Below are 11,858 nucleotides of genomic sequence, written 5' to 3'. Positions count from 1 at the left end.
CCTGCAATATACATTAAAGCTAAGAGGAAACAGCACATTTCCATTGCTTGATGTCTACATTTATGGCAAATGAGCACTGGGGCTGATTGAATTACTTTCATATTTAAAGCTGGCCCCATATTTCTGTCTTCTATTTTTAGTAGCAGTAGAGGGTACACTAATTTTCACAGGACTTTGCATAACTCCCTTTTTAAAAATTTGAATGAAGCTCAAAGTGGTTAATGAACAAACTATTTTCAAATATGAAAACCAAGGCATAGTAATGTCAATGAAAAGAGTCAAACTCTGTAAAATATTTGAAGAGATGTATTCTGAGCCAAGAGCATGGACCACGACACAGCCCTCAGGAGGTCCTGAGACCATGTGCCCAAGGTGGTCATGGTGCAGCTTGGTTTTACACATTTTAGGGAGGCATGAGACATCAATCAAATACACTTAAGAAATACATTGTTTTAGCTCAGAAAGGTGGGACAACTCAAAGCAGGGGGTAGGGGGGAGCTTCCAGGCTATAGGTAAATTTAAATATTTTCTGGTTGACAATTGGTTGAGTTTGTCTAAAGACCTGGGATCAATAGAAAGGAAATGTTCAGGTTAAGATAAAAGATTATAGACAGCAAGTTTCTTTTGAAGTCTTATAGTGGCTGCCCTTAGAGACAATAGATGACAAATGTTTCCTATTCAGACCTTTAAAAGGTGCTAGACTCTTAGTTAATCTTTTCAGGACTTGGGGGGCCTGGAAGAAAAAGAGCTAGCTATGTTAATAGACATTCTTACAGACGCAGATTTTCCCCCACAAAGGACAGCTTTGCAGGACCATTTCAAAATATGGCAAAGAAGCATGTTTTGGGGTAAAATACTTCGACTTTCTTCTTTGTCACATAATGTTATGCCAGAGTCCGATTAGAAAGTAAGTCACGATATATAGGGTTAAATAAAATCCATCTGATGAGAACTTATGGATTGTAGGGCATGACTCCATAGATCTCTTAGATACGAATTAGGGCAAGATTTAAAAAAATCAGAGCTTAGTCCTCAGTAAAATAGCCAGGACAACAAAATTACTGGTGTTGACCTACTGAGTTGCCACCTCCCAATTTATTCTTCCCTCTCTGACTGGGAGCCATTAATACTCTTAATCTTTTAATAATATTTGAAATATTCATTCTGTTGATGAAAAGAATCAAACTCTGTGAAATATTTGAAGAGATTTATTCTGAGCCAAATATGAGTGACCATGTCTTGTGACACAGCCCCAGGAGATCCCAGGCTACAGCTTGGTTTTATACATTTTAGGGAGACATAAGACATCAATTGATACATGGAAGATGTACATTGGTTTCATCCAGAAAGGCAGGACAACTTGAGTCAGTGGGCTTCCAGGTTGTAGGTGGATTCAAATATTTTCAGATTGGCAGTTGGTTAAAAGAATTTATCCAAAGACTTGGAATCAATAGAAGTGAGGGTCTAGATCAAGATAAAGAGCTGTAGAAGCCAAGGTTATTATTATGTGGATGAAGCCTCAGATAGCATACTTCAGACAGAATAGAGTGTAAATGTTTCTTATCAGACTTAAAAGATGCCAAACTCTGTTAATTATCTTCTGGATCAAGAAAAACCTAGAAAGGGAAGGGAATTCTCTATAGAATGTAGATTTTCCCCACAAGACACAGCTTGGGGGGAATTGGGGCAAGATTAAAAAATCAGAGCTTAGTCCTCACACCTAACCTCCCTTTCCTGTATGGACTATATCCCATAATTAATGAGGAAAAGTTCTCTCTATAGGAGCAATTGAGCCAATCAATGCATAAGGATGCTAGATTTAGAATGCACTTTTTTTTTTATTAGTGGGTATAAAAGGCTAATCATCTAATGAAATAATGGATCTAGGAAGTAACCATTAATAACTGCTAGCATTGTTAGGTCCAAGGCAGATGTCTAGATCAAGCTGATAGCACCTGAACCCAGTGATCAATCTTGACCTCAGCACATTAGCCATGTGTCATAGCATGTGCCTGTAGTCCCTGGGCAACAGAGAGAGACTTGGTCTAAAAAAAAAGCAGCCAGCTGAAGTGATGGTCAAAGGGGTCCAGCAAGAGAAACTCCAGAGAGCCCACAAATACACTTCAAGAAAAAGGAAGAGATCTATACACTCATCAAGCTCAAAGAAACTCAGCTTTAAGCTTCTGCCAGGGCCTGAGAGAATCAACACCAGATTTCATGGGTACCAGGAACACACACGTCTCCTGTCCCTGGTTCTCCACCCAAAGAGAATCAGGGAGGAAAGGGAATCATGGGCAGGTGAAACCATCGTGCAGACCCAAGCTGGTAGGATTGGGGAGCCTTCATTTTAAAGGAAATTTGAAGTTTTTACTATTTCATGTGACTAGACAGTTTAATTACAGAAGTAAGACTATAACGAAAATAAGCAGGTACATTGGGAGACCTGAGGAAAGCATAATTCCACAGAACAAGTTTGAATGGTGAGTCAGGGGAGGGGGTAAAGAGAGAATAACTGATTGCTTGCTTTCTGCTCTTGACCTTATGAGCTCTACTTCTGCAACCAACAATGTTTAACAATTTAGTGCTTAGCAAAGAAAAACTGTTTTGTTTTGGTCATCAACAACATATTGAGGTAGAGGTAATATTATTCACTAGACATCCCTGCAGGGAGAGCTTTGCATTTATTTGAAATAAATACTTTGATAACTCATTGGAGATGGAGAGCAAGACTTCCAATGGCCTATTTAAGCAACAAGGATGACACTAAGCTTCTGGGGAAGGAGATGGGGACAAAGGAACAGAACAAGAGAGTGAGAGAGAGATTGTACATTGTGCAAAGAGACCTTCTGCCCAAGACCCCTCAAATCTGTAGTTTACAAGAAACTCACTTGTGTCTGGTGTGAGCAGATACTCCCTCCTAGGAGTCAGTGAGGGACTAAGGTCTGACCCTCAGCTAGTCTATGTGATATCTTTGTACAAATTAGAAAAGGCCCTCAGGTGAAATAAATTACAAATTGGTGTACCCTCTGGGTGGAGGAATCACCTAAAACACCCCTTTCTCTAAACTCTCCTTGGAATGCTGATCTGGAGCTGGATTTAGTTGTCACCTTGCCCAGAGTCTAACCTGGTTCTGTGTCCAGATGAACAGCTGTCCTGGCTCTCAGCCCAGGTTGATGAGGAAAAAAACAGCACAAATGAACAAGGAGGCAAAAGACAAAGAAAGCTATTAAAGTCTAAGCCCCCTAGAAGACTTTCCAGGCTGTAGAATCAGGATTTCAGGCTATCTTCTATAAATCTTACAAGTCAATCTGGTCATACACACATCAACTTCCATCTGCTATCTCCATGGTTTATCTAATCTTGCCAAGTTGTAAGTAATTCAGGGGATAAAAATCTCAGGACTGTCTGCATCTATCACTGTTCACCATTCCTCACAACTGGATAAAAGCAACTAATCAAAATGAACTAATGAGCTGTGTGGCCTGCCTTGGCCTTTTTCTGGTCTCCTCTCCTCTCCACATTTGGGGCTTAGCCTCTCTCTGCTGGGTGGCAGCTCGAGCTCCAAGGGACACCTGCATAGACCAGCATGTTCAGGGACCCCACCAGCTGCCTCTGCACACTCCACACTTTGTGTACAGGAGAACCATATGGCAGGTCCCCTGAAAGAAAAACAAGGTGTGCAAGCAAAGAAAATAAATACAGAGAAGAAAGTGACAAAAGCAGCAAGCAGAGAAAGGAATAGGGGTTTGCAGCTGCTGGTGGAAAAAATGCAGGCAGCCGACTGGGCTGCATAGTTGCCTGAAAAGCAAACAGGGAGGTAACCTGCTAGCCAAATCTGTGTCTGAGGGCAAAGCAGGGTGTTTTCTTGGGCTGTGAGCCTGTGCCATCTCTTGTGGTCAGACGCTGGGTAACAACAACTTCCCTGTCTTGACATTCAAGCACCTGGGTGCGAGGGGAGATGCTCAAGAGGGTGGTCTGGGGGGAGGAATGTGGTGGGAGGGTGGCCAGAACTGTGGGAAGAGAAGTTTAACTCAAGAGGTGAATTCATCATGGGTGTGAGGCTGGAATCAGGAAGGGCAGAGGGAATGATGATTCAAGCCACAGGTCATATGAGGAAACACTCTCGGCTGTACTTTGGTGAGTGAGCCGAGGAGAGACCCAAGGTCGCAATGAGCCTCTCCCTGAAGTTTCTTCAGATGTGCATTTGGTGCAATTTCAGGGAATATTTTAGTCCTTAGAAGGAACTAGAAATACAAATGTTGTACTAAGAAGAATGTGGAAGAGATGGGGTTTGAGGGAGAGAGTGAAGATCAGTCAGTCAGGTGGTATACTGAAGATGTTATACCTCATAAAGGTATACCTCATAAAGGTATGAGGACATATAAAATGGGCTTCCAGACTATTCTTTGAGTGTTTTGCTCCCCACTCACTTTGCAGCCAATTAACAGGAAACTCCAGCTCAATTGCTGAAATAACAGAGATATTTATACACTCACACAAGAAGACTGCAGGGAGGGCTGTGTCAAGGTAGTTAATTCAGTGGCTCAGACTTCATGACAGACCAGGTTCTTCCTGTCTCTCAGCTCTCCCAGCATCGGTGTGAGGGCTTTGCTCTCAGCCCAGCTCCGCTGCTGGTGAAAGGATGGGCCCAGGATTTCCAGCAGCCATATCTAGACTAGGCAGGGTCCAGAAGCAGAAAGGAGATTATCTCTTCCTCCCACCTCAGCCTCCCAAAGTGTTGGGATTATAGTCAGGAGCCACTGTGCCCAGCCCATGCTTCTTTCTGAGTGTGAGAAAATCTTTCCCCAGACTGTCCCAGCAGACTTCCCTTCACATCCTGCTGTTCCAGTAGGTAACTAGTCAGACATGAGCAGTGCAGGAGATGAACCCCACCCAACCAGGAATGTCAGGCAACCATCAGGTAATAGTCAGGTGGTATTAAGCTGTCTCTCTAAAATAGTATTTGGCCACAGCCAGCGCCATGGAAAGGCAGTCTCCCAATAGAAAAACCTGAAACTGGTGATCAGCAGCTTCCCAATAAGATCTCAGGAGTTGGGCAAGTGGGCTTGAGCATGCACACTAAGAGGCAAAATGGTAGCATTTAACTGGTCTGTGACCTTCCTTTGGGAACACTCGACTGGTAAGTGAATGCCTCAAGTGATCATGTGCACAATTTTAGTAAACACATTGTGCATGAGGCCCCTCCCAAGTGCTGGCAGGCCACTGCTCATGCAGACAGCCCACCTCAAGGGAAGAATCAGGGGGGAAGTAACAAGATCTTAGGAGCAGGCCAACGTATAAAACCCCAAGTCAAAAGGTCAAACCATGCACTTGATCTCTCAAGATGCCCACTTGGTCCCCTTCCAAGTGTACTTTACTTCCTTTCATTCCTGCCCTAAAACTTTTCAATAAACTTTTACTCCTGCCTTAAACCTTGCCTTGGTCTCTCACTCTCGGTCTGTCCCTAGGTCAAATTCTTTCTTCTGAAGAGGCAAGAATTGAGGTTGCTGCAGAGCCATAACGATTCACCACCAGTAACACTACTGACCCGAGTTGTATCACATGTTCTGGTCCAATCCAAGACATTGGCAGGGGATGAGCTTAAACCAGAGATCAGAATAGTTTTTACATTTTTAAATGGTTAAAAAAAATCAAAAGAAGAATAGTTCACTGTATTTGAAAATTATATGAAATTCAAATTTCAGTGTCCATAAGTAAATAACATATTATTGGAACACAACCACACTGTCATTTATTTACATATTGTCTATAGCTTCTTTCAGACTGCAATGGCAGAGTTGAGCAGTTTCAATAGAGATATGGCCTGCAAAGCCTAAATATTGGCTATTTGGTGCTTTCCAGAAAAAGTTTGCTGACCCTCAGCTTGGACTTTTCAGACCCACCCTCGAGGCTACACCGGAAGCTGGTCCCCTTGAAACCATACACCAAAGGGAGGATAACAAAATTGGGCTTCTTTGGAAAGGAGAATGGGGCATGAAATGGACTCTCCGCCTCCCCACTGGCCATCATTCATTAATTGATCCAAGGCTAGGAATGTCCCAAAGCCAGGCCAATCTGATTTTTTTGAACTTGTAAACAGGGAAGGGAGCCATGCCCTCTCTGGTGGCTTGACTGTCAAATGTGAGTCAGAGAGCTGCCAATGGCCAAATTCCCACCACTGCTGAGGATACAGTTTAAGAGAACAGAACAGGTTTCAGAAACAAGAGCTGGAGAGGAAGAGATCATGAGCTGGCAGTGTTTATGTCCCTGCTTCTAGCTGTGCCTGAGGCCCAACTGCAGGCCTCATTGCCCAAGGATTTAGGAACTGAGCCAACACATTCCCCATGTCACCCATGAGAGTATAATGTGAGTATAATGGCTCATTTTTAGACAGATGGGACTCAACTACTCCAGGCTCCAAAGAATTTACTATCAGTCTGGGAAGCCAAGACTTTTACTCCTAAGAAGGGAACTAATATCCAAGGACCAAAGGATAAGCTTAGCCTGTAAGTGCCATAAGGTTTCAGAGTGGAGAGGGATGATAATGGGTTGGTGTGTTTGAAGAAAAGTGATGAAGGAAGGTAAATTTGAGAGAGACCTTAAGGTTAGGTCAGAACTTAGAGAGGAAAGAGACAGGAATCTCACAGCTGAAGAATTTTCTGGGCAGAAGCAAAGATGAAAACAAGCAAAGCAGATTCAGAGTAGGCCAATCTAACCAATTTTGTAGCCTGTAGCTGAGTCAAGGGATGTTGGAAGCCACATGAATCCACTGAAAGTTGACAAGCAGGGTCTTCCATGATGCCATTTGTGGGTATTATGATGATTTGTCCAAACCTTACAGTAGCTTCACTTACATATCTGGAATGTATAGTAAAATTCTGAATTCTCTTTTATCATGTGTATGCTAATAACCATAGGCCTATCCTCCTTAGAAAAGCACTATTGGTAGAGTATAGATTATTTTTAATGTCCTTCCAAAATTATACCTCAGACACTCAGCCAGAAGGACCAGGCTTAGCCAAACATTATTGAACTGAACCAGGAAAGCCTGCACTCCAAGTCTGTGTTTTTGAGACTTTGAAAAATGAAGCTGGGAAACTGCTTGTCTCCTAGTAATTATGATCTGTTCTCTACACACCATTCACCCTAATAATATTACTCCACAGGAAAGAGAGGGAGGAATGAAGGGAGAGAGCCAGTACCTATTTAGGAGGTCCGCCTGGTGAGTGTGACTTCTGACCTCTCTGCAAGGTCCCAGTCTCTTGTGCCCACTGGGAACCAGATTGGCCCTTGGCAAAACTGTGAAATGGCCGACATTTATCTTTCAGGCCTCCTATATCTATATTTTAGAGAGTTTTTTCTTTTTTTCTTTTCTTTCTTTCTTTTTTTTTTTTTTTTTTGAAAGAGTCTTGCTCTGTCTCCTAGGCTTGAGTGCAGTGGCACAATCTTGACTCACTGCAACTTCCGCCTCCTGGGTTCAAGCAATTCTCCTGCTTCAGCTTCCTGAGTAGCTGGGATTACAGGTGTGTACCACCACGCTTGGCTAATCTTTGTATTTTTAGTAGAGACAGGGTTTCACCATGTTGGCCAGGCTGTTCTTGAACTCCTGACCTCAAGTGATTTGCCTGCCTCAGCCTCCCAAAGTGCTGGGATTACAGGCGTGAGCCTCCATGCCCAGCCTTCATCTTTCTTCTAAATCATCTCTCTCAACTTTCTACCTTTCTCAGGCTCCTGGAGGCTAATCACTGCAATTTTGTTGCCAGGATCTCACACTGTAACATTATATGAAACACCTCATAGTGAAAATTATCTGGATTCTGCCAATAGCCTCTGGTTAGCCGTCCTCTCCCAGCTGCAGTCCCTGCAAGTCAATACTCCATATTGCGGCCACCTGAGCTTTCAGAATTGTAAACTTGATCCCATGACCCCCTCCCACCTACATTAAAACCCTCCAAGGATCCTACATTGCCTGATGAGTAAAGTTCAAGTTCCTTGCTGTGATGTAAAACAATGGTTCTCGAATGTGGTCCCCAGGCCTGGAGCAGCATTATTGGGTAACAAGGTAGAAATGTAAATTCTAGGCCCTCATCTGAGACTTACTGAGTCAGAAACTCTGGGGGTGGGGTCCAGAAATCTGTGTTTTAAAAAGCCCTCTAGATGAATCTGATGTAAGGTCAAGTTTAGGAAACACCGATATAGGCAATCACTGCCCACTGGCCCAGATTCATTGCCCACTAAACCCAAGATGCAGCCTAGGACTTAGCCCAAAGATGGCAAAGAGAGTTCACCGAATTTCCCGATTCTTTTCAGAGTTTAGTGGCTACCTGACATGAGGTGTTGAAGATAATGAAGCCTCAGTCTTAGTTATCAGGATAATTTGCCCCATAATTGATTAATGACATGTAAGAGATAGGGTAATGGCTGCCCGGTGTCAGGCACTTTCCATTCTAATTCTAGCCACAGATTTTCAGTCCCTGCAAATCACCAAGGCTTAAACTGATATAATGCAGATACCATCCAGGCAGAAAGATGTATATTTCAGAAGATGACTGCCTGGAGACGGTTGAGCCCTAGGGAACAAATTTAGTCCTAAGGAACCAATCCCTGCAGCTGGTGCCATCAGGACATCACTGGCTATGAATTTGGGGTATGTGGGTACCAGGATGGGATTTTGAGGGCAGAGGTTCTCTCCAGTGGAGCTGTGCTCTACCTCCTTTACTTTGTGTGCATAGCTGTAACCGATTAGTAGGGAGCCAGGAAAAGAGCTCAGCTTCGGGGCAGAAAGGAGACACCCCTACATGAGGCAAGACAGCCCTGTCATCTGTGGCTGGAGATGGATACTGTGGTGAGGCTCCTGCTCAGGACCCCTAAGTCCTAAGGGGGGATTTAAGTGCAATACTTAATTTTTCCTACATGAGAGGCAGAGTGCAGGGAGGCCAGACGGGGAGGGGCTAAAGGGACTACAGGAGCCAGCACAGCTGGAAGTGATTAAGGCCCAGCCTAGGAGGCCGTAGACAGGTAATAGTCTGGGATTGGTAGAGCTGCAGAAAGAAACCTTTGCCCTAGAAGTGTTTGGCAAACCCACTCTGTTATATTTTGATTCAGTGTCTGACATGGCTGTGGAGGTTTCCAAGTGAAAAATGAAAACTTCTTGGCTAGTTTCTTTACTCTGGAGATGGGGGCTCTTTCTGTTTGCCTCATATATGCAAAGGAAATATGAAGCAAAAATAGAGTCTAGGATTTCCTGCTAACCTTTTTCTTTTCCTGAAGGCTGGGGTTTAAGTTTCTTGCTTGGGACGGTCAGCTGCACTGTTCTTGATTCTTCAAGGCGTGCTGTGGTTCCTTTCCTTCGTCTGCTCTCACTTCCTCCCTTCACCCAGCTTTGTCCCAGGCCAGGCCAAGTGAACAGCTGTGATGGCAACTAAGCCTCTCTCTTGCCTTCTAGCCTGGAAGTTTGTTTCACACTTCCCTGGAAACTCTGAAGTTCGTCTTTTCTCCTGGACATTACAAATCTAACTCTTGTAACTTATTATTTTTTTTTTCAAGAACAATTACCTACCAAAGAAGAGAGCTCTTTATCCCTCTTTGTTACAGGGGGAAAGTTCTGCAGGATTTATTAACAATGATCCATATGTGAATGAGCTCCAGCAAAGCCTGAAATACTTCCCTTGTCAAAAATATACAAAGGAGAAGTACCAACAAAAATAGGCTTGTGTTTCATCTTAGATATTTCCACCCATGCAACTCTCGTGGAAAAGAATAACCTAAAATACAGAGGCATTTTTTACGAACACTACTTGATGCACTTTGAATTGAGCATGCTTTGCAGAAATACAATCTGCATGTCATTATCCCTAATTTTCTAAGTCCTTGCTGTGTGATATCAGGTCTGCCACCCTTGCTGTTAAATGTCAGTTAAGACCTAATTAATTTAACTGCTCTGACAAGTTTAAATCAGCTCCCACAGAGACTGTAATTTGCCTCGAGTTCTTACCTGCTACAGATCAGTAACTCCCAACTGATAGTGCTACAGACATATTTTAAAAATAACTTTTATTGTTTTTATTTTTAATTTTAGTCAAGTGGTACATGTTCATTGTAGAAAAGTCAGAAAACACAGTCAAAACAAGAAGAATTTTTTAAAAATCACATTTTTAAAAAAATTTATTTATTTATTTTTTTACCCAGGCCGGAGTGCAGTGGCATGATCTCGGGTCATCACAACCTCCACTTCCTGGGTTCCAGCAATTCTCCTGCCTCAGCCTCCTGGGTAGCTAGGACTACAAGTATGTGCCACAATGCCCAGCTATTTTTTTTTGCATTTTTAGTAGAGACAGAGTTTCACCATGTTGGTCAGCCTGGTCTCGATTTCCTGACCTTAAGTGATCTGCCCACTTCTGCCTCCCAAAGTGCTGGGATTACAGGCATAAGCCACTATACCAGGCTGAAAAAAATTGCATAATTTTATCATATAGTTATAACCACTGCAAACATCTTGACGTAAATCTTTTTTTTTTTTTTTTTGGTCTATGTAATGAGAGGTAATTCTTCAAAAACTATAAATGAGCATTTCTCTTTTGTTTCCATGTTCATGAATCAAAATAGGCTTTTTCAGACAGTAAGCCTGAAAGCTAGGTTCTGTCCAGAGAGGGAGGATTTTCTAAATTCTTTTAGCTATCAAGAACAAGCCTAAAAAACTCATATAGAGTTCTTTCCATAAAGACAGAGAAGCTATTCCTTTTTCCTATGATAACTATCAGGCTTGCTACTGAGAGAAGGGGGGAGATATAGGATAGGGGAGAAAAAGTCCAAAATTCTCACATTCACGTATACATAAATTATGGAGAGAGAAAGAGGCAAGATAAGGATGGGCAGAGCTCACCCTTCCTGCCCTAAGACAGAGGCATATGTCAGATAGGATGAAAGGAACCCAAGGATGGAGGACTTCTGCCCAAGCGATGCATCTGGGTTACTTAGCTTAAGGCAGGTGTGGATTTCCCTGATTGCAATTAGTTCTTTGTAGCTGCTATTAGAAAACCACTGCTGTAACCATAGTAGTTTGAAGAACAAAGAAGTTCTCTCCTAAAATAATCTGAGGTGATTTTCCAGGCTGGTGGTCAGCTCTTCTTCATTCAGGGACTCAGATTCTTTTCCTAGTAGTTGCTGTGCTACAAGTCCAAGGGCCTTTGTCATCAACCATACGGGACTACTATATCTGGGTTCCATTTGGTAGTAAGGGAAAAGAGAGGCTGGAGGAAGTACACTCAATATCATGAGACTCTGGCCCAAAAGTGGCAGACATGAACTCTTCTCATATTTTATTGGCTAGAACTTGGTCATATGACCAAACCTAACCACAAAGAATGTGGGGAAATTCAATATCACTGGGGAGCCATATTTGCCCAACAATAGCAATTCTATTATAGAACAAAGGGAGAACAGGTTTTAGTTGCCCTCTACACCTAGTGTCATAGATGGGGCCCTGTGTGCACAGATGGGGCCCTGTGTGCACATAAAAGGCTCTTTGAAAGCAGCCATGGGTTTGACAGCCATGGATTTGCCCTCAGGCACCATAAGTAGGGGTGAAGTGACTTTCACAGCAGAGGCAAAATGTGAATCACCTAGATCCAGAAAGGTCTATAGAATCAGTGAGAGATGGAATGAGACCAGCACAGCCGAAGTATACCATTGTTCATGATCAAGCTCAGAGACACCAGAACCCAGGTTATACCAGCTGCCAATGTCTACTACAAAGCCAAGCTGGGTGGGCAGCAGCAAGGCTGACAAGGGACACCACAAGCACAGCTCTGAGGACCCATCACTACACTGCCTGAAGCTCACAGTAACCTTCCCTCACA

At 43.1% G+C, this 11,858-nt stretch overlaps 1 annotated feature.

Moving 5' to 3' along the window:
• Positions 362 to 958: an enhancer, noted in NCBI's record as "NANOG hESC enhancer chr4:53135291-53135887 (GRCh37/hg19 assembly coordinates)". NCBI's record gives its function as "activates a minimal SCP1, AML or CMV promoter by ChIP-STARR-seq in naive H9 embryonic stem cells {active_cell/tissue: H9 hESC(naive)}" and the evidence as "EXISTENCE:reporter gene assay evidence [ECO:0000049][PMID:30033119]".

The sequence above is a fragment of the Homo sapiens genome, chromosome 4 (assembly GCF_000001405.40).
Source record: "Homo sapiens chromosome 4, GRCh38.p14 Primary Assembly".
Taxonomy (NCBI): Eukaryota; Metazoa; Chordata; class Mammalia; order Primates; family Hominidae; genus Homo; species Homo sapiens.
The sequence above is the reverse complement of the archived record's forward strand: the minus strand, read 5'-3'. Positions and strand labels throughout refer to the sequence as shown.